Consider the following 23,107-nt stretch of genomic DNA (forward strand, 5'->3'; position numbering starts at 1 on the left):
CTCTTACCTGATTGCCCTGGCCAGAACTTCCAACAGTATGTTGAATAAGAGTGATGAGAGAGGGCATCCTTGTCTTGTGCCAGTTTTCAAGGGGAATGAGGGAGGCTAATTTTCTAATAATAATAATAAGATAATATTGAAGATTTGCTTGGTTCCAGATATTTCCATGAATGCTTTACATGTATCAAGTCACAATCTCAGAAAACCCTATGAAAGAGTTCATATTATTATCCCCATTTTATAGATGAAGAGACTGAGGCACATGCCCTACAAAGACCTAAGCTGGGAAACCCACTACCTTGAGTGTTTTTGTTGCCACCTGAGCACAGGGATCTCAGATTGACATTGCAGTTTCTCAGCATTCCACCTCCAGGAAATGTTTTATTTCACAACAGGCCAATGGGCCACGTGACTGAGGTGTTCTACTGAGAAGGGGCGGGGAGCAAGGAGTCTGAGGCTCACAGGCTATAATGGATGGAGGAAGAAAAATTAGAGAACTGGGTTTGGGGGCAGAGTCCTTGCCGGCCTTGTGAGGCTGTGGCTGGGTCTGATCTCATCTGCTGTAAGAGCTGGTCCTGAACTGTGTGGTTTGAGGCCTGGGCAGTGGTGAAGGCAGGAGGACTCACAAATCAACCAGGCTGTTGAAAACCCCAAGGAGCAACAGTACGGGCCAAAGGCCAGAGGTCTGAGGTCTGGGTTCTAGCCCTGGCTTTGCCATTAACTAGCTGTATGATTCTGGGCAAATCGGTTCATCTTTCTAGGCCCAGTTACTTTTTTTTTTTTTTTTTTGAGATGGAGTCTTGCCTTGTTGCCCAGCCTAGTGTGCAATGGCGTGATCTGAGCTCACTGCAACCTCTGCCTCCCGGGTTCAAACAATTCTCCTGCCTCAGGCTCCCAAGTAGCTAGGATTACAGGTGCCTGCCACCACACCCAGCCAATTTTTGTATTTTTAGTAAAGATGGGGTTTCACCATGTTGGCCAGGCTGGTCTCTAACTCCTGACCTCAGGTGATCTGCCTGCCTCGGCCTCCCAAAGTACTGGGATTATAGGCACTTTTTTTTTTTTTTTAATAAATAAAATGCAAGTTTTTTTTTGTTATTGTGGTGATTGTTGTTTTTAATCTCCCAAGTGTTTTTGAACCCCATCATTCTGTGGTTCTATGGCTTTACTGCCATGCCAAGCAAGTCTCAGAATGTTGGCACGCTGACCATTACTGCTTCCCTCCCTGCCCTCCATTCTTTTATAAAGGCCAACCAAAGATAACCATGCTGGTCCTGTGCTGGGCTAGAACATTCTCTCCTCATAACATTCGTAAGAGATAGACATTATTTTGATTTTATGGATAAGGACTCATCCAAGTACACACACCAGCAATCCACATTGGGAATTCTAATTGAGGCTTGCCTCTAAAATCTAGGTTGTTCATGAATATGTGACATGGCTTCTCTATTTTATGTTGGTTTCTATTGGCCACTGGCAAATACTGCTCTTTTTAGGGGCTGGTGGGGTGGTGGGAATGGTGTCTGAAGTGGAAAGAAGGCACTAGGTTTGGACCCATGCGCCACAGAGGCCCTTGGAAGGGGTGCAAATGGCATTGGCCTTGTGGCTCCAGTCTTTTCCAACTACTGCTCCAAGTGGGGCAACGAATGCAGATTTTCCTGCTAAGAACTTGCAGAGAATCCCAATAGGTTGTACTTCTTTTAACGCATAGAGTTTTCATGTGCCAGCAGCTGCCATAACACAAACACAGTCCCTTACTAACTGCTCTCCTAGGTCGCTTTTCCTGCCACGTGGCCTCCCTGCCCACGTCCCCTGGGAGGTGGCCGGAAAGCTGAGATGGGGGCGGCTGCAGTTGCTGCCTCTGGCTGACGTTCAGCTGCAGCAGGCAGGGTTGTTCAAGCTTGGAAGAATCACCACTAAAATGATTTGGGTTTGTGGTGGGGAAGCGGAGGGCAGTCCCTTTTAAGAGTTTCCTTTCACATTCCAGCCATCCACCCCCTGAAATCTTTCAATCATCCATTCATGTATTCATTCAAAAATTATTTAACGTGTTCTTTTTCTGTGTCAGGCACTGTTCTAGGCACTAGAGATCCAGTGGTGAACAAAAGAGGCATGTTCCCTGCTCCCAGGAAATTAATGTTTTAATTGAAGGGTCGGGGGGGATTTGGAGATAAGCAATCAGACAAATAAATACATGATATAATGTGAGATAGTGCTGAGTGTCTCAAAGAAAATGATTATATGGAGCCAGAGAGTGACAGAAATGCTGTTTTAAGCTGGGTGTCAGGAGAGGTCTCCCTGAGGAAATGACAGACACTGAGACGTAGTCAAGGAGCAAGCTGTGGAAATCTCTGGGGGAGAGTGGCCCCAAAGAGGGAGGAGAAAGTGCTAGGTCCTGAGATAAGAAGGGGCATGGCACTTCTGATGAGCAGTAGGAAGCCAGTGTACCTGGAGTACAAGGAGCAAAGCAGACGTAACATGGAGTTGCAGAGGCAACACAGACCATGTAAGGGCTTGGGATTTTCTTTTATTTTTGAGACAAAATCTCACTGTCACCCAGGCTGAGTGCAGTGGCATGATTATGGCTCATTGAAGCCTTTTCTCCTGGACTCAAGCAAACCTCCCACCTCAGTCTCCCAAGTAGCTGGGACAACAGCTGCATACCACCACTCCTGGCTAATTTTGTCCTTTGTGTAGAGGCGGGATCTTGCTATGTTTCCTGGGCTGGTCTTGAATTCCTGGATTCAGGGGATCCTCCTGCCTCAGCCTCCTAAAGTTCTGGGATTACAGACATGAGCCACCGTGCCTGGCTGGGATTTTATTTTAAATATGATGTGAAGCTGTTGGAACATTTTGAAAAGGGAAATGACACAATGAGATTTATGTTTAAAATTATCTCCGTGGCCATGGAGATTGTAAGGAGCTCAGGGAAGGAGCAGGGAGATCCATTAGGAGGCCATTGCAAAAGTCCAGGCCAAAAGTGAGAGTGGCTCAGGCTCATGATGGATCCAGGTGGACAGAAGTAGCAGGATTCGGGATTTTTACAAAGATAGAACCAATAACATTTGCTGATAGATTGGATGTAGGTTGTGTGAGAAAGACAGCAGTTAATGATGACCCTCAGGTTTTTGGTTCTAAGGGCTGAAAACTGTAATAGGCTGAATAATGGCTACCCAAAGAGATTCTGTCCTAACCCCTGGAACTTGTCACATTTGAAAAAAGAGTTAATTTTACCTTACATGGTAACAAATCTCATTAAATATTTTGGAATTATTCTGGATTATCCAGATGGGACCAGGATGCCATTTAGTGTCTCTATACAAGAGAGGCAAAAGGGAGATGACACACACCTGAAGCAGGATGCCACGTAAAGGTGAAGGAAGGGTTTGGAGCGATGCAGCCACAGCCGGGGAATGCCACACCAGCAGCCACCAGAAGCTGGAAGAGGCAAGGATCAGCTTCTCCCTTTGAGCCCCTAGAACAGGGGTGTCCAAACTTTTGGCTTCCCTGGGCCACATTGGAAGAAGAATTGTCTTGGGCCACACATAAAATACACTAACATTAATGATAGCTGATGTGCTTAAAAAAAAATCGCAGAAAAGTCTCGTTATGTTTTAAGAAAGTTTACAAATTTGTGTTGGGCCGCATTCAAAGATGTTCTGGGCTGCATTTGGCCCAAGGGCCACAGTTTGGACAAGCTTGCCCTAGAATGAGGGCAGCCGTGCCAACACCTGGATTCCAACCCAGTGAAATGGGTTTTGGACTTCTGGTTCCTAGAACTAAGAAATAATAAATTTCTGTTTTAAGCCACCAAATTTGTCATAGCTGCCATAGTAAAAGAATACAATGCAGGAAAAGATTCAGCAAAGACACCTGTACCAAGACAAAGGCCATCGGTATATTAGGCCACTCGTAAATGAAATGGGACATTGAGAAGTGGACAAGAATCACAAAAGGTGTGGGAAAAACCAGGAACTTCTGTTGGAGGAGAGGGAGGGGCTGGTAGAAAGAGTGGAAAGAGGGGGAGGAGCTGGCATAAGCTGTTGTCTCTGGGCTGTGGCGCCTTGGCCAGATAAGCATCTTACCTTAGTGCTGAGACAGGCCTACAATTCAATCCAAGTTGGATTTTTTATACATTAATTGAGCTTTGCTGAAACTGTGCTTTTCTTCTTTCAAGTCTAAATTCAAGTCTTGAAATGATTCCTTGGCTGAAATTAGATGGTTTTCCAGTGCTGGTTTCTTTCTACTCAAAGTTGTCTTTCATTGGCTGGCAATAACCAATTATTTGTGTGATTTGTTTGCATTTGGATTTGGCCTGATTCAACAGGGCAAGCAGACTAGTCTCCCTGTCTGAATCCCCACCTGCCAACCCACCGACACCATCCTTTCTTGGAGTTCCTGTAGCCTGGAGTTTAAGGCCTTTTTATGTATTTGAGGGTACAATTTTCATAAGAAGTAATTTTTTTTGCTTTTTTAAAAAAATAATTTATTTATCTAAATTTATTTATTTATTTTGAGACAAGGTCTTGCCATGTTACCCAGGCTGGTCTCAAACTCCTGGGCTCAAGCAATCCTCCTGCCTCGGCCTCCCAAAGTGCTGGGATTACAGGTGTGGGCCACTGTGCCTGGCCGATAGTTTCTTAAAATTACTGCTTTTCAGTTACTTTTTTCATATCCACTTATCCTATTCGAACAGCAGTATATTCTCTGATTTTTAAAATAACTGTTGTGTTGAATTTCCTAAGCTCACTAAAGTCAAGGGACCTCTTGAAGTTCATTCTGGGTGAGTATGGGTTCAAAATCAGTGCTCCCTCCACTCCCTAGAGCCATCTACACAGGCAGAGAGCCTACTCTATCTTGGCCAGGACATGGTCCTAATATTTGCTGCCAAAATCCCTTCCCTTTGAATTTGCTTTTCTTAGACCTCTGTTCCTTTCCCTGCTACCCTTGAGCTGTTGGCTTGTGGTGTGTGTTGAATGTATCTTTTCCTGTCTCCACATGCCCACCTCTCCCACCCCAGTCGACCAAGATCATGCCAATCCCTTCTAATTGACTGACTTTTCAGTGTATTTTAGAGGCAAGCTGGGGTGGTGGATGGGACACTGGGCTAGGAGTCAGGACTCTACCACACAGTGGCCTGAATTCAGTTGCTGGCTCTGCCACTTACTTCTGAGTGGCCTCAAATTTTGTAACCTCTCTGGTTAAAATCAGCTGTTTTCCAATTGACCTTAGCCCTGGCCTTTGCTAACATTAAATGAGTGTTGTCACCACTCTAAGCTTTAATTCCTTCACATAGAAAATGAAGAGATTGGATAGACCAGACAATTGCCACATCCCCTTCCAAATCCAGGATTCTATAGTTCTAGTAGGAAGCAAGGAAACAAAACATTTCAGTTTATTGTTTGGTATAAATGAATCATCTTCTTCTTTGAAGTCCTTGTTAATCAACTTTCCCATAAGCCAGAATTCATCACTCCCACTGGGCCTTGTGAAAATGGGAAAACATCTGAATAATGGACTATTGCTGGGGCTTTGGAACCACACTGACCTGTCTTCTTCCTCGGCCGTATGCATATGATGGACACCTGGACACGGTACTTAGCACCCTAAACATCAGCTTCCCAGTTTGTAAACTGGAGTTAGTAACTGAGCATCCCTCACAGAGTTATTGTAATGACTAAGTGAGATAATTTATATGTAGATAAAATGCCTTGCCTCTAAAAAATATTCAGTGATGTTAAGCTATTGCTTTCTTTTTATTTACTTGTTTGTTGAAATAATTTATATGTGGTGAAGTGTCCAAATTGTATACACCTCAATAGATCTTTACATCTGTATATACCTCTGTGACAACCCCTAGAACAAGATACAGAACATTTCTAGCACAACAGAAGGCTCACTTCTACTCCCTTTCAGTAAATATCCAACTCCCACCAAAGTAACCAATATTCTGACCTTTATCACCATAGATTAGTTTTTCCTGTTCTCAAACTTCATCTATGTATGTATGTATGTATGTGTGTATCTATCTATCTATCTCTATCATCTATATCTATCTCTATCATCTATATCTATCTATCATCTATACCTATCATCTATATCTATCATATCTATCTATCTATCTATCTATCTATCTATCTATCTATCTATCTAATTTTTGAAACAGAGTCTCAGTCACCCAGGCTGGAGTGCAGTGGTACGACCTTGGCTCACTGCAACCACCACCTCCCAAGTTCAAGTGATTCTCATGCCTCAGCCTCCTGAGTAGCTGGGACCATAGGCCTGTGCCACCATACCCAGCTCATTTTTGTATTTTTAGTAGACAGGGTTTTGCCACGTTGGCCAGGCTGGTCTTGAACTCCTGATGTTAAGTGATCCGCCCACCTTGGCCTCCCAAAGTGCTGGCATTTCAGGTGTGAGCCACCACACCTGGCCACTTCACATGAATATAATCATACATTATGTGATCTTTAGAGTCTGGCTTCTCTCAATCAATATTATATTTTTAGTGAGATTCATTCATGTTGCTGCAAGTAGCAATAACATTTTGGTCTTCATTGCTGTATAACATTCCACTTATTGCATACCACAATTTATTTATATACTGTACTATTTATGGACATTTGAGTTGCTTCCTTTTTTTGCTGTTAAAAAAATAATTTTCTATGAGCTACTTACCCATGTCTTTGGTTTATGTAAGCACTCATTTCCGTTGATATACACCCAGCAGTGAAATTGCTAGGGCATAGAGTATTTGTAAGGTTAACTTTAGTAGATCCTACCAAGCAGTTCTTGGTAGTACAAGCAGTGCAAGTGCTTGTAACAGTTTACATTCCTCCCAGCAGTGTGAAAGGTTTCCAGTTGCTCAGCTGCTTCACCATCACTGGGTTTTCTGAATTCTTTTCATTTAGTCATTCTAGTGGCAATAGGGTAGTATCTCATTGAGCTTTCAATTTGCATGTTCCTGATGACTAAAAATGTTGATTACTTTTTCCTGCGCTTTTTGTCCATTTCGATATCCTCACTTGTGAAGTGCCTATTCAGGTCCCTTGCACCTCAAAAATGTTAGCTATTATTTTGTATCATACTAATTGTGCTTTTAAGTTATCCGTATATCTATCTACTCTCCAAATAGATGATAAGCCCTTTGATATGCAAGGTCTGTGCGTCACTCATTTACGAATTCTTAGTGCCTAACGTAAGACTCATGTTATACATTCGTTGAATACATTGTCAAACGTCTAGGACTCAGCAGATCATGGCAAAATGTCGCCATCTGGTGTCTGCAGGGAATGAGATGTGGAGGATGCAAAGCCAGCTGGCTGGATAATTCATTGTTTTCCATGTGAGCTTTCTCTTATGTACGATTTAAAAAATATGTATATATTGCAAATTGCCTCTGCATACTTGATTTTAAAAATATTTTCTATATGTACTTTCATTTTTAAAAACTCAATTTAAAGTGCAAACTTGTGGAACAGAAAAAGTTCCACAATGACTAAATTCTTTACTAAACAATTACTAAACAATTCACTAAACTAAATTCTTTAGTAATTGTTTACATTTTCAAGAGTTGGGTGCTGTATTCATAGATGAAACAATAAGTACTTACTATATTCTAGTCCTGAAGTTTATTCAAGAGATATAAGGTGCTCATAGGCTAGTAAGGAAGAAACAAAAAAATCAGCCTGGAGTATTATAATAAATGCCTTAAAATAGGTGTTTGTTCGTTCATTCGTTCACTCACTCATTCATCATTCAACATATATTATTGAGCATTTATTCTGTACCAGGCATTGTCACAGGTACTATAAACCCAAACGTGTGTGTCCTAAAGTGTGACTGCTCTAAGAAAACCTATAGTAAAAATATATATATAATTTTTCAAGGATTTGGAACTTTGGTATATTTTCCTTTGAGTATAAGCTGCTGTAGACGGTAGGCCATGTGAGACCCCAGCTTCTATTAGGGTTACACATAGAACAAGATGGCCCTAGTTGAAAATACTTTTCCATAAAGTGTACTGAGGTGGGGAGGAGGTGGCGAACTTCACTGCTCTTCTCAACTCTTTCTTCCCTCTACTCACTGCTCCTCAATCCACCACCAAGACAAATGGTAACAATGGATTGATCAGGTTTATTTGTTTGTTTTTTGAGACGGGGTCTTGCTCTGTCACCCAGGCTGGAGTGCAGTGGTGTGATCACAACTTACTGCAGCCTCAACCCCAGGCTCAAGCAATCCTCCTACCTCAGCTTCCTCAGTAGCTAGGACTACAGGCATGTGCCACCATGCCCAGCTAATTAAAACAACATTATTTTGTAGATATGGGGTCCCCACCATGTTGCCTAGACTGGCCTGGAACTCCTGAGCTCAAGCGATCCTCCCACCGCAGCCTCTCAAAGTGCTTGGATTATAGGTGTGAGCCACCGTGCCTGGCTTGATCAGGTTTAGAAACATTGTAGTGCCCATGGGTAAAGTCTCTGTCCAGGTTACAGGCTAGAGCTCACATGGGCGTGACCTCCCAGTCACTGTCACACTGTTGGAGGACATAGGCTGGGGTGGCAATACGCTTCTGATAAAGGCCAGTAGTAGGTGTCTTAGGCTGGCAATATTTTAAGCACTGGGAGATATGATACTGCACCTTTCCTCTTATACTTTTTTTTTTTTTTTTTGAGACAGGGTCTCTACCACCCATGCTGGGGTGCAGTGACACTATCATAGCTCGTTGCAGCCTCAGCCTCCCAGGTTCAGGCAATCCTCCTACCTCAGCCTCCCAGATTCAGGCAATCCTCCTACCTCAGCCTCCCAGGTTCAGGCAATCCTCCTACCTCAGCCTCCCAGGTTCAGGCAATCCTCCTACCTCAGCCTCCCAGGTTCAGGCAATCCTCCTACCTCAGCCTCCCAGGTTCAGGCAATCCTCCTACCTCAGCCTCCCAGGTTCAGGCAATCCTCCTACCTCAGCCTCCCAGGTTCAGGCAATCCTCCTACCTCAGCCTCCCAGGTTCAGGCAATCCTCCTACCTCAGCCTCCTCAGTAGCTGGAGCCACAGCTGTGTGCCACCACATCCAGCTAATTTGAAAAATTATTTTGTAGAGACGGGGGTCCCATTATGTTGTCCAGGCTGGTCTGGAACTCCTGGGCTCAAACGATCCTCCCGCCTTGGCCTCCCAAAGTGCTGGGATTACTTGGGTGAGCCACTGCGCCTGGCCTCCTCTGATGCTTCTTGTGAGCAGATGTATTCTTGAATTTCTTCACAGCAGTTCACAAAAAGTGTCTATGACCTCATCACCCAAGTTTTTTTTTTTTTTTTTTTTTTGAGATGGTCTTGCTCTGGCACCAGGCCAGAGTGCAGTGGTGCCATCTGGGCTCACTGCAACCTCCGCCTCCCTGGTTCAAGTGATTTTCCTGCCTCAGCCTCCCAAGTAGCTGGGATTAACAGGCACGTGCCAACACGCCCAACTAATTTTTGTATTTTTAGTAAAGATGGGGTTTCACCATGTTGGCCAGGATGGTCTCGATCTCCTGACCTTGTGATCCGCCAGCCTCGGCCTCCCAAAGTGCTGGGATTACAGGCGTGAGCCACCGCACCAAGCCATCACCCGACTTTTACACATTCTCCTAGACTTCTTCTGACATTACAATGCAACAAACATTTATTTATTTCCTAATATAAACCAAAAATTCTGCTAGATGTTGGCAAAAAACAATGAAAGACAGTGTTTGCCTTCCAAGAGAAAAGGTAACAGATGATTAACATATGTAAAGGGCTATGACAGAAGTATATGAAGGAAATATGAGAGCTTGCTTCTTGGATGAAGTCTTAAGAATAAAAAGGAATTATCCAGCAAGAGTGGGTAAGAGTGGGGGATGGACAATAGGAGCTGCATGAGCAAAGGGCATGCATGCAGAGCTGTTTGCATTCCATCTTCAACATGCTGGGAAGCTTTTAACCTGAGAAGTAGCAGATACAAATAAATATTTTAAAAATTTATTGGCAACCATATGAAGGATGAATTATGGCATGGTACCATTGGAAGCAATAATTCTGTTAGCATGCCATGGTAATAATTCACATGGTGTAGCCTCAGTCAATGCACTGAAAGTGAGGGAGGAGAGATGAGAGAGGGGCACAGATGCAGTTCGTTAAGGTTAGTTTAGAATTAGTATCACTGATAGATATGAAGAGCAAGGGAAAAAGAAAAATCTGGGACAAATCATAGGTTTCTGATTTAGGTCAATGGTGGCCAGTCACTTTCAGGAAGAAGAACAGATGCTGGGGTACTGGCTTTAGTGAGGGCACTAATCCCTTCCCCCTGCCCATTCCAACTTATATTCACTTCTAGAAAGGATGAATGGGATTTTGGTGTAATAAGAAGACAGGTTGGCCAGGCGTGGTGGCTCATGCCTGTAATTCCAGCACTTTGGGAGGCCAAGGCAGGCAGATCATTTGAGCCCATGAGTTTGAGACCAGCCTGGGCAACATGATGAAACCCTGTCTCTACAAATAATACAAAAAATTAGCTAAGTGTGGTGGCACATGCCTGTAGTCCCAGCTATTCAGGAGGTTAAGGTGGGAGGATGGCTTGAACCCAGGACATGGAGGTTGCAGTGAGCCGTGATCATACCGCTGCACTCCAGCCCAGATGACGGAACGAGACTCCATCTCAAGTAAAACAACAACAACAAAAGGTCAAGAAATTGAGCATGGTGTTGTGTTTTTCAGCACCTCAGGCATTCTGATCACTTTTACTTACTTGTTTAGATTGCTCATGTCAGAGTGCCGCAAGTTGTATACATTGCCTCACAGCTTAATTGCCTATGAGGAGTTTGGGTCCAAAAACCTCACTGGTTAGCAGTAAAAAGCTTTCAAAAATTTATAATTCCAGACATTTCCCTATTTCCACCGTTTTGCAGAGTTAGAGTCCCTGTGGACTGAGCGAGCTTCCAGCACTGGGAGTCGACCTCTAGTGGTAATTCTTTAAACTGCAAGTCCTGACTTTGGTGATTTGGCTTATTTTGCCAGAACCAGGGCAGCTGAGTTCAGGTTTTGGTTACAATTAATAAAAAATGTTGGCTTCTAAGAGATCTATTAATATCTCAGTTTTACTTATGAGAGGCCTTAGAGATATGAAGTAAGATGAACTCACATGCCCAAGGTCATACAGCTAGTAAGTGATGAAGGTAGGATTCAAATCCTGGTCCGTAGGTTTATTAATCCAGAGCCTGTGCTCTTAACCACTACCTGTTCTGCCTCTGTTGTTACTTGAATCATCTCTTTAGGCAAAGTTGACCAATCTTTTTCTTTCTTTCTTTCTTTCCTTCCTTCTTTCTTTCTTTCTTTCTTTCTTTCTTTCTTTCTTTCTTTCTTTCTTTCCTTCTTTCTTTCTTTCTTTTTCCTTCCTTCCTTCCTTCTCTTTCTTTCTCTTTCTTTCCTTCTTTCTTTCTTTTTCTTTCTTCTTTCTCTTTCTTTCTTTCTTCCTTCCTTTTTTTGTTTCTTTTTTTTTTTTTTCAAGTTCTCACTCTGTCACCGAGGCTGAAGTGCCACTGTGGCCTGATCTTGGCTCACCGCAACCTCCTCCCAGGTTCAAGAAATCCTTGCATCTCAGCCTCATCAGTAGCTTGGACTACAGGCATGTGACACCACACCTGTCTAATTTTTGTATTTTTGGTAGAGACAGGGTTTTGCCATCTTGGCCAGGCTGGTCTTGAACTCCTGAGCTCAAGCAATCCACCTGTTTCAGCCTCCCAAAGTGTTGGGATTACAGACATGGGGCACTGTGCCTGGCCTTGACCATCCCTTTTATATGCTCTCTAATATATCTACTGTAGCACATCTCATACATTAGAGACCAGTCTTTCCCACCAGTTCATGAATTCCCTGGAAGCAGAGCTCTTAGTAAGTACACAATGAATGTTTAATGAATGGGCAGATATTATAATCCTACTCTCAGACTCTTTTAATTTTTTTATTAGACTTTAAGTTCTGGGATACATGTGCAGAAAGTGCAGGTTTGTTACATAGGTATACACGTGCCATAGTGGTTTGCTGCACCCATCAACCTGTCATCTGCATTAGGTATTTCTCCTAATGCCCTCCCTCCACTTGCCCCCGACCCCCTGACAGGCCCCAGGGTCTGATCTTCCCCTCCCTGTGCCCATGTGATCTCACTGTTCAACTCCCACTTATGAGTGAGAATATGCAGTGTTTGGTTTTCTGTCCCTGTTAGTTTGCTGAGAATGATAGTTACAAGCTTCATCCATGTCCCTGCAAAGGACATGAACTCATCCTTTTTTATGGCTGCATAGTATTCCATGGTGTATATGTGCCACACTTTCTTTATCCAGTCTATCATTAATGGGCATTTGGGTTGGTTACGAGTCCTTGCTATCGTGAATAGTGCTGCAATAAACATACATGTGCATGTCTCTTTATAGCAGAATGATTTATAATGCTTTGGGTATATACCCAGTAATGGGATGGCTGGGTCAAATGGTATTTCTGGTTTTAGATTCTTGAGGAATCGCCGCCCTGTCTTCCACAATGGTTGAACTAGTTTACACTTGCACTAACAGTGTAAAAGTGTTCCTATTTCTCCACATCCTCTCCAGCATCTGTTTTTTCCTGACTTTTTAATGATCGCCATTCCAACTGGTGTGAGATGGTATCTCATTGTGGTTTTGACTTGCATTTCTCTAATGACCAGTGATGATGAGCTGTTTTTCATATGTTTGTTGACCACATAAAATGTCTTCTTTTGACAAGTGTCTGTTCATATCCATCGCCCACTTTTTGATGGGGTTGTTTTTTTCTTGTAAATGTGCTTATGTTCCTTGTAGATTCTGGATATTAGCCCTTTGTCAGATGGATAGATTGCAAAAATTTTCTCCCATTCTGTAGGTTGTCTGTTCACTCTGATGATAGTTTCTTTTGCTGTGCAGAAGCTCTTTAGTTTAATTAGATCCCATTTGTCAATTTTGGCTTTTGTTGCCATTGCTTTTGGTGTTTTAGTCATGAAGTCTTTGCCCATGCCTATGTCCTGAATGGTAATGCCTAGGTTTTCTTCTAGGGTTTTTATGGTGTTAGGTCTTATGTTTAAGTCTTTAATCCAACTTGACTTAATTTTTGTACAAGGTGCAAGGAAGGGGTCCAGTTTCAGTTTTCTCGCAGACTCTTATAGCTAGCTATTTACATAACATCTCCACTAGAATGTCAAATAGACATCTCAAACATCCCATGTCCAAACTACACTCCCGATGATGCTAAAGAGATGTATTCCACCTACTATCTTTCCATCTTAATCAATGGCGTCCACCTTTGCCCATTTACTCAGTCCAAAATCATACAATTCTCTTTAACTCATCTTCCCCACCCCCCAACAAATCTCACATTTACTAGCAAATCTTGTTAATTCTATTTTAATTATATGATTTGAACTCTACCTTTTCTCATCATTTCCACTGCTCTGCTCCTTATCCAGACTGTGCATGTGTTTCGCTTGGATTACTGTGTTAGCCTGCCAAGTGGTGTCTTAGTGGTCTCTTCCTGAACTGCCAAGAATCTATTCTCAGCTATCAGCATATTTATAGTTGTGAGATGATATGTGAGTTCTTTGAACAATACCCTCTAGTGGCTCCCCATCTTAATCAGAATCAAAGACACAATTGTTCCAAGCCCATGTATCTGGCTCCTCATTGCCCCTCTAAGAGCATCTCCTATTGCTCTCCCCTCTCTCTCCGGGTTCTAGGCTCACCAAGCACACTTCTGTCTCAGGGACTTTACACTAGCTATTCACTCTCTGGAATGCTTTTTCATGAATAGCTGTTTAAATTGCTCCTCCAACTCTTTCACATCTTTGTTTAAATGTCACCTTCCCAGTGAAGCCTTCCTGGATTATCCCCTCACCCATCCGTGGAACTTCCTCTCCACTTTCCTTGATTAATTTTTCTTCTTGGCAGTTTTTTTTCCTTTTAATATGTGATATAATTTAAATAATGCTTTATTTTGTTGACTGTCTTTCCTCACCATACTATAAGCTCCATGAGTGTGGGGATATTTGTCTCTTTTGTTTACTGCTACTTCCCTAACACCTCCAACAATAGGTGTTTATTACATACTTTCTGGATGCATGAAAGAAAAACGAAGAAACTCATCCCTCAGTACAGGAACTGTATGTTCTGAATGATTGCATTAGGTGTGCTCTATACATTTTTGCCTCTCTTAACAGTCTACAATTCCTTGACTCTGGGGCCTTCTAGTTGGTATGCCCCCTATTAAACTACAGGCAGATTTTTATTAAGAAAATTCACTGCAGTAAGTATTTATATAGAGCAATAATTATTTGTAACTTTTTGTTGGTCAGTTTAGCAACAAAGCTTCCTATGCTTAGCAATTACGTGCAATCATTTTCCCTGTTCATGTAACAGTCTTCTCATATGAGAATAATGGATGGAGCAGTATTTTTATTTAGATTGAACTTTCGCTGTACTCTTTATGATAGTTCTGATCACAGAAAATGATTACTCCTCCACCATGTCCTCTCAAAAAATAAAAAAGTTGACTAGTTGAAACTCCCAACCCACTCTTCAAAAACAAGAAACACAAAACAAAAACCTACCAGGAAATAAACATGAATATCTAAGGGGATGTGAGGGTGTTGTCAGTTCACTTTATTAATCAGCTTAACACAATCCAGCCTAACAAAATAAATTAGAGCTTAAGTCAAAGCCACAAGGGGTTAAAGTGGTTGTAGGAGGTTTGAGAAGGGCCATTGAGCCAGATGTTGTGTCTAGTCAATCTCAAGCTTGCTGCACAGTTAAAGCCGACCATTCTACCTTCCCTAATAACACTTTAGTTGAACCCTCAAATCCTCCCAGAAGTCCTCCCTAGTTATTATTAACCAACCCCTTCTCTCAATTCCTAAGTCCAACTCTTCTCTTCCTGAGCCCATTTCTTTATTCCACATCCCTCATTTTCAGATGATGACCACAGCATTTACCACAGGAGAAAAAAAGAGAAACCATCAGTCACAGATTGCCTTAATTTTCCTTCCTTCCCCCTTCTATGAGCTGAACACATTTTGTGTTCACCTGAACATCTTTTTCTTTTGTCCCAGAATGAAATATTTTTCAATGCTAATCCCTTCACCTGTGCTTTTGATCGTATCCTCTTAAAGATTTCCTTCCTCAATTATCTCCTCTGCCTTTTTCAGTGTTTCAGTCTCCCCTTGTTCCTTCTCCTCAGCTTATATAATTTGGCAATATGTATAAATACACCTCCTAGCACAGTGTCCGGAAAATAGCAGGTGCTCAATAAATGTTAGTTTGACTCCCCTAAAGCTTCAAGTGTCCCTTAGCCTGAGAAAAACCATCCATTCTTGACACTGCATTTCCCCAAACTGCCCTGCCACACTCCTTTTCCTTCCCAAGCTTTTTTTTTTTTTTTTTTTTTGAGACACAGTCTCGCTCTGTCACCCAGGCTGGAGTGCAATGGTGTGATCTCGGCTCACTGCAAACTCTGCCTCCCAAGTTCAAGCGATTCTCCTGCCTCAGCCTCTCCAGTAGCTGGGATTACAGGTGTGCACCACCAGGCCCGGCTAATTTTTGTACTTTTAGTAGAGACGGGGCTTCACCATATTTTCCAGGCTGGTCTCAACCTCCTGACCTCAGGTGATCCGCCCACCTCGGCACCTGAAAGTGCTGGGATATCAGGTGTGAGCCACCACGCCTGGCCCTTCCCAAGATTCTTACAAAAGCATTCTCTATGCCCAATTTCTCTACTTTTACTTGCTCATTTAAGTTTTGTCTCACTTTATATAATTGAATTATTTAATCAAATACTCTCTTTCAGGTTTTTATTTAACTTGGCCGTTTTACGGCATTTGATAACACTAACCAGTTCCTCCTTTCCATTTTGTTAAAAAAAATTCTTGGACTTTTTTCAACATTTCTCTCTGATTCCCCTTTACTCTCTGTTGTTCTTCAATGTTCTTTGGTGGGTACCGCTCTGCCTCCGTCAATGGTTCCTTAAATGTTTTTCTGTCCCTAGCAATTTTCTTTTCAATCTATTCAACTTCCTTCTTTAAAATGTTCCCTTCCACACCCATTCTCTGAACTGTCACCTATACTGCATATTGCTCCCAAATCTGTATCTTCTTTCCAGATTTTTTCTCACAACAGAGCTACTTCTACTTACTGGATATTCTAGCATTGCCTTACATTCTATATAACCAAAACTGAGCTCAATATCTTTCTTTTATGCATTTTTCTTTTTCCTATGTTTCCAAATTGAATAATAATGTCACTTGTCACCCAGATCCCCACAGCCCTCTGTGCATGTTGTGATTTATTCATCTTTGCATCCTCCACCTCATCCCCTAGCTTCTCGTTCATTCAAGCCCATTATAGTTCCCAGTACACAGAAGACACTCAAAAGCTATTTGTTGAATGAGTGCATAAATGAAACGCTTTCAGAGGAATAAATCTATAAGCAATCAAGGGTGCTCTTGATTTTTCCATAAAGTTACATAGGACATTGTAATCACCCAGTTGATCATTGCTAAGAAAGTGCTTGATCCTATTCTCTATTATCAGCTTGCAGGAGAAAGGAGAAACAAACATGTTTTATGTTTCTTGTATAGACAGGATGACTAATCTTAGAAGACTTATAAAAACGAGCATCTTCCGAGTCAACCTGAATGTAAAATGCTGAAAGAATGAACTGTGAATCCTGCTTGGGGACTGGTAGAGTGAATTTTTGACTCCCATTCTTGACCCCTCCTAATACTCAAACCCTTTGCCATATAATTCATCAGTCCCTCCCACTAAGGGAATTGGTGAAAATTCTCACGCTTTGACTTTGGGCTCTGCCACGTTGCTTTTACTAATGGATGTTAGTGGACTGGAGGCATGAGGCTTGACATGCACTTGGTGGTTGGGTTTTCTTTCTTTACCTTTTGATCACCATGAGAGTAACATATGTGGCTCACCTCACTAAGCCCAGGAGGAGAATGGGAGATGTGTAGAGCACAACTACCCCAGCTGACCCACAGACCATCAGGGAGAAGCAAAGCCACCCAGTCCAACCCAGCCAAGATCAGTTTCTGAAACTCTAGCTAATCTGCAAACTGCATACGTCCAATAAATGCTTATTATTGTAAACCACCAACATTCTGTGTTATTGTGTAGCAGTATTTGAATAATACAAATACCAACAGGCTTCTTTTTTTTTTTTTTTGAGACGGAGTTTCGCTCTTGTTGCCCAGGCTGGAGTGCAGTGGCGCGATCTCAGCTCACTGCAACCTCCACCCCCGGGGTTCAAGCGATTCTCCGGCAGGAGAATCCTGAGTAGCTGGGATTACAGACATGCACCACCACACTCAGCTAATTTTTTGTATTTTTAGTAGAGATGGGGTTTCATCATGTTGGCCAGGCTAGTCTTGAACTCCTGACCTCAGGTAATCCACCTGCCTCGGCCTCCCAAAGTGCAGGGATTACAGGCACCGGCCCCATCAGCCTTCTTTTACTCCCTTTCTTCTGACTCTGGCATTCTGCCTCCCTTCTCCTCAGTTCTCTTCTCAACAGTCTGCTAATGTGAATACAATTGGCTTTAGGGTCAAAAAGTTGTGACTTTGAACTCATTCTGTGAATGACTGGGAGGCTTGAATATGTTACTTTTCTCCTTTGAGCCTTGGTTTCTTAATCTGTGAAGTAAGAAAAAGATACCTGTGATGACTCAATAAGCTACATTAAGCAACCAGCATGCAATAATCAGCCTACACTCCAGAACTGAGTGTAACTGACCAGAAGGGATCACAAACTGAGCAAAAGCAGCGGTTCCTTGTTCGTTCTGCACTCTCCCCATACAAAATTCCATTCCTTTCCCCCAGATTTGTTCTTCTTCTTAGGCTCAGGCAGTTTTACCATAGTGTGTTCTCTCTGCCTCCAGCACTGTGGTAAAGATGATGTTTCTTATTCCTTTAATGCCTCTTGGCTACATCCATTCTCCAGGGACAATTCATTTTAAGGAGTGCCTTTTATGTTTGGCCTTCTTGTGTGTATTCTTTGAGGTATGTCTCGTGTGTGTGTGCCTACACAGTCATGCATCGCTTAACAATGGGATATGTTATGAGAAGTGTGTCATTAGATGATTTCGTCATTGTGTGATCATAGAGTGTATGTACACAAACACAGATGCTATAGCCTACTTCACACCTAGGCTATATGGTATAGCCTATTGCTCCTACGCTACAAACCTCTATAGCATTTTACTGTACTGAATACAGCAGGTGATTGTAACACACTGGTAAGTATTTGTCTATCTAAGCATATCTAAACATAGAAAAGGTACAGTAAAAATACAATGTGAAAGATAAAAAATGGTCCACCTGTATAGGGCACTTACCATGAATGGAGCTTGCAGGACTGGAAGTTGCTCCAGGTGAGTCAGTGAGTGACTGGTGAGTGAATGTGAAGGTCTAGGACATTACTGTACACAACTGTAGACTTCATCAACACTGTATACTTAGGCTACACGAAATTTTTACAAATTTTTTCTTTCTTCAATAATAAATTAACCTAAGCATGGTGTAACTTTTTTGCTTTATAAACTTTTAGCTTTTTTAACTTTTTGACTCTTTTATACTAACACTTAGCTAAAACACAAACACACTGTACAGCTGTACCAAAATATTTTTTTTCCTTATTCTTTAAGCTTTTTTCAATTTTTTCAATTTTTATTGTTTTACTTTTTAAACTTCTTTGTTTTAAACCAAGACACAAACATAGCTTAGCCTCGGCCTACTCAGGGTCAGGATCATCAGTATCACTGTCTTCCACCTCTACATTTTGTCCCACTGGAACATCTTTCAGGGGCAATAACCCCAGTGGAGCTGTCATCTTCTATAATAACAATGCCTTCTTCTGGAATCCTTCCTGAAGGATCTTCCTGAGGCTGTCTTCTAGTTAACTGTTTTATTTCTTAAATAAGTAAGAGTACACTCTAAAATAATAATGAAAATATAAGTACATAAGCCCATGACAGTCATTTCTTATCAAGTATTATATACTGTACATAATTATATGTGCTAGAATTTTCCATGACTAGCAGCACAGTAGGTTTCCAGCAGCATCATCATGAACATGAGTAATGCATTGCTATGACATCAGTAGGCTGTAGGAATTTTTCAGCTCCATTACAATCCTACAGGACCACTGTTGTATATGTGGTTTGTCACTGATGAAAACGTTGTGTGCCACATGACTCTATTTGTGTGCATATAAAATGTTAACTTGATCTTTAATTGAAGTATTTAATCTATTTACATTTAATGTTACTATTTATATATTTGAGTTTTAGTTACCATTTTACTATTTGTTATCTATTTGACTCACTTGTTTTATATTCCTTTTTCTCTTAGCTTCATTTGCATAATTTTTTAGTACATTATTTTCCCTCTATTAACTCGTCAGTTATACATTTGCTTACTATTGTTTTGGTGGTTACTCTAGAAATCATAACATATATTTTTTATTATTACTGTCTAAAAAACAAAATAGCCCTTTTCCACTTTTTCAATAATGCCAGAACCTTCAAATGTTTTAACTCCATCCACTCTCTTCATCTTATGTGTTATTGCTGACATATATCTCATAAGACATATTTACTTTATACAATCATTATTGATTTATACTTATCAACATATTTACCATTTCCATAGCTTATTACTTAGTGTATTTCTATATTTCCATTTCATCATCAATATTGCCAGAAGTTTTTGTAGTCTTTTCAAAGAACCAGCTTACTTACTTTGTTAAACATATTATATATATTTTATCATTACTTTCTCCAATTATCTCCTTTCTATATTCTTTTAATTTATTGTATAAATATTTATCCTTTTTTTATCTGCTTGATCTATCAAAAACTAGGAGAGGTGCATTTAAATTGCTCACTGAAGTGATGAATTTATCAATTTTTCCTGTAATTCTACTGATTTTTATTACAAAGCCAGAAGCATATAGAAATTTAGACATGTTATATATTCCTGGTAGATTAAACTTTTAATTATGTAGAGGCCTTCTCATAATGCTCTGGCTTAAAACATTTTTTATTCAATATTAAAATAATTCCTTTAGCTTTCTTTGTACAGTATTTTCCTGGTATATCCTCACTTTTTAAAAATTTTCCCTATCCTGGCCGGGCCCGGTGGCTCATGCCTGTAATCCCAGCACTTTGGGAGGCCGAGGTGAGTGGATCACGAGGTCAGGAGTTCAAGACCAACCTGACCAATATAGTGAAACCCAGTCTCTACTAAAAAAAAAAAAAATTAGCCGGGCATGGTGGCAGGCACCTGTAATCCCACCTACTTGGGAGGCTGGGGCAGGAGAATTACCTGAACCCAGGAGGTGGAGGTTGCAGTGAGCCAACATGATGCCATTGCACTCCAGCCTGGGCGACTGAGTGAGATTCCATCTCAAAAAAAAAAAAAAAAAAATCACTATTTTTGTATATCTGTTGTATATACTTTGTTATAATTTACTTTTTTTTTTACCCATTCTGACAATCTCTATCTTAAATGGTAGTTACTATTTATTCTATTTTATTCATATATTTGGGCTGTGTTCTTCGTAGTTCTATTTTTTCATCTTTTTATGCTTTTTTTGGCCTTTCTTTAGACAACCTAAGTCCCACTTTTGAAAAAAATTAATTCCTATTTTCCCTCCACTATTTAGAAAATTACTCTCTCCATTCTTATGAGTATCTTTGATACTACAGTGCACACTTAATTTAACAATGTTGAGGTTAACCAATATCTTACAGCTTTTGTCCTGAACAGTTCATGAATGTTAAAACACTTAATTCAGATCACCCTATCCCAACTTACATACTACTTCTATTCTCTATTTTAGTAATTTATTAAAACTGTAGTTGTATTTTAGTGGAGGGCCTTTCAGAATATCATGCTAGGGGCACTGAAGGAGGCAAGGATCTTCTCCCTTTATTTGCTGACCCAGTCTTCTGCTTTTTGCTGGTTTCTTGACTCAGGGTTTACTCCTCATTGTTTGGATGGATTATTCAACTGCCCCACAGCTCTTTTGCCGTGGAACTGCTTCTCTGTAGACCTGTTGCCAAGATTCCGCAAATGAACCCAAGCACCAAGCAATTGCTGTAGGCCTCTTCCTGAAATCTTCTCGTTAGTAGTTCCTTGGACTTGTCTAGGAGAGATGTACAACTAAAAAAGAAACCACAAACAGAAGAGCAGAGAAGTCGTCTTACGGGAAACCCTGAGAATCTGCAGTTTTGATTATATTCCTGTGAAATGGCCTTTTTGCAGCGTTGTTATATTCTGCAGAGAACGCTACTAAGATTTATTCTCTACTTAAATGGAGAAGGTTTGGCTATTTTCCTGCATGGCGTTTTAGATGGTTGAATCTTCTTGCTTCTGGAAGTCTTTACAGCTTCTGGAAGTCTTTACATAACCCTACAATGCTCTCAACCTCCTCTGAAGAGTCCCTATCTTTATGAATTGCCAAATAAACTAGTTTGTGCTGACTGATTCCTTTTTTAGAATTTGAATTGCATTCCTCCTTCTACCTGAAACCTCGGTGTACACACGTGCATGCGTGCACTCACACACACTAAAGAGAATAGAAATTGCACATTAAGAGGTATCTTTGTGCTGGTCTGACAATCACTTTGTTCCTTTTTGTTATTAAAGATAAAAAAGGTGGTGTCTAAAGAAAGCTGGGCTCCTCCTTGCTTGATCCTCAGGACTTCCGCAAGGATGAATTAAGTTATTCCACTTATTCCAAGGAGATGTGCTTACATTTGAAACATTGTATCAGTTACTTTGCCACAATAAAGGTTAGTAATCACGTGGGTTGGCCATCCACTTTGTGGCTCTTTCAGTCTTTCCCTCTCCCATAAACTAGATTAGTGGGTTAGTCAGCCAACATCACTAGAAATATAAGGAGATGGAAATAATTGTAGGTATATTTCTCTCAGCTATTGTGGCTGGACTATTTAGGTCAGCTGAGGGAAGACGCTAGAGGTAAAACAAACTATTTTTAAAAATACTGGTGTGGGGCCAGGTGCGGTGGCTCACGCTTGCAATCCCAGCACTTTGGGAGGCCAAGGCAGGCGGATCACAAGGTCAGGAGATCGAGACCATCCTGGCTAACATGGTGAAACCCCGTCTCTACCAAAATTACAGAAAATCAGCCGGGCGTGGTGGTGGGTGCCTGTAGTCCCAGCTTCCTGGGGAGGCTGAGGCAGGAGAATGGCGTGAACCCGGGAGGCGGAGCTTGCAGTGAGCCGAGATCACGCCACTGCACTCCAGCCTGGGCGACAGAGCGAGACTCCATCTCAAAACAAACAAACAAACAAATACTGGTGTGGAAGGGTACCAAATTATTAACCTGCTCAACATGTCATCAGTTACTATTTCTCAGTTCAGCTTTCATTCTAGAAAACTACTATGGAGCCGTTAACTCTCATTTGGATTACTGTCCTTTCAGCCAGTCTGGTGAATCAAAATTTTTTATTTATTAAATATCCCATTTTTCGCCTGTGGCAGGGTGGTGGTCCAGAGGCCTTGACTGAAGGGGACTGGAACAACTTGTCTGTGCCATCTCTGGGCTTTTCTCCTCTACTACTCTACTGCTCAGTGCAAACAATGTATCTTCTATTAGATCCATTACTTCAGTTGTGCTTTGAAGGGGGCAACAGGTTTCTTAGTGGGTTTTGATTTTAGTACCTTGATGTTAATCTGATTTATGAAATTCTCCATGGAGTTCATCTGAGTTTACCGGATTCTGCTCCGGAATATGAGGCCTAAGTCCCAGATAATAAAAATGTATTTTGGCTTGATCTCTTGGGCATTTATTTCTCCTCGGACTTTGTGGTGAAGAGGTTAAATATTCCTTGGTTATTCCTAAATTATCTGGTCAAACATCCTTATATTATCATTTTTAATGTGTCATACCTCTTTAGCACATTTCCAACCACCTGCCACTTCTGTTAATTAAGTAGCGTATTAACTTCCTCCAAATAATATCTTTAAAATCCCACCGTTTTCTCCCTCAGAAACTTAGTATGGTATTCAAGGAT

The 23,107-nt window shown here is 41.3% G+C and overlaps 2 annotated features.

Annotated features, from left to right (window-relative positions):
* Window positions 1,310-1,810: an enhancer, noted in NCBI's record as "H3K4me1 hESC enhancer chr11:123572538-123573038 (GRCh37/hg19 assembly coordinates)". NCBI's record gives its function as "activates a minimal SCP1, AML or CMV promoter by ChIP-STARR-seq in naive H9 embryonic stem cells {active_cell/tissue: H9 hESC(naive)}" and the evidence as "EXISTENCE:reporter gene assay evidence [ECO:0000049][PMID:30033119]".
* Window positions 1,811-2,311: an enhancer, noted in NCBI's record as "H3K4me1 hESC enhancer chr11:123573039-123573539 (GRCh37/hg19 assembly coordinates)". NCBI's record gives its function as "activates a minimal SCP1, AML or CMV promoter by ChIP-STARR-seq in naive H9 embryonic stem cells {active_cell/tissue: H9 hESC(naive)}" and the evidence as "EXISTENCE:reporter gene assay evidence [ECO:0000049][PMID:30033119]".

Source organism: Homo sapiens, chromosome 11, assembly GCF_000001405.40.
Source record: "Homo sapiens chromosome 11, GRCh38.p14 Primary Assembly".
Classification (NCBI taxonomy): domain Eukaryota; kingdom Metazoa; phylum Chordata; class Mammalia; order Primates; family Hominidae; genus Homo; species Homo sapiens.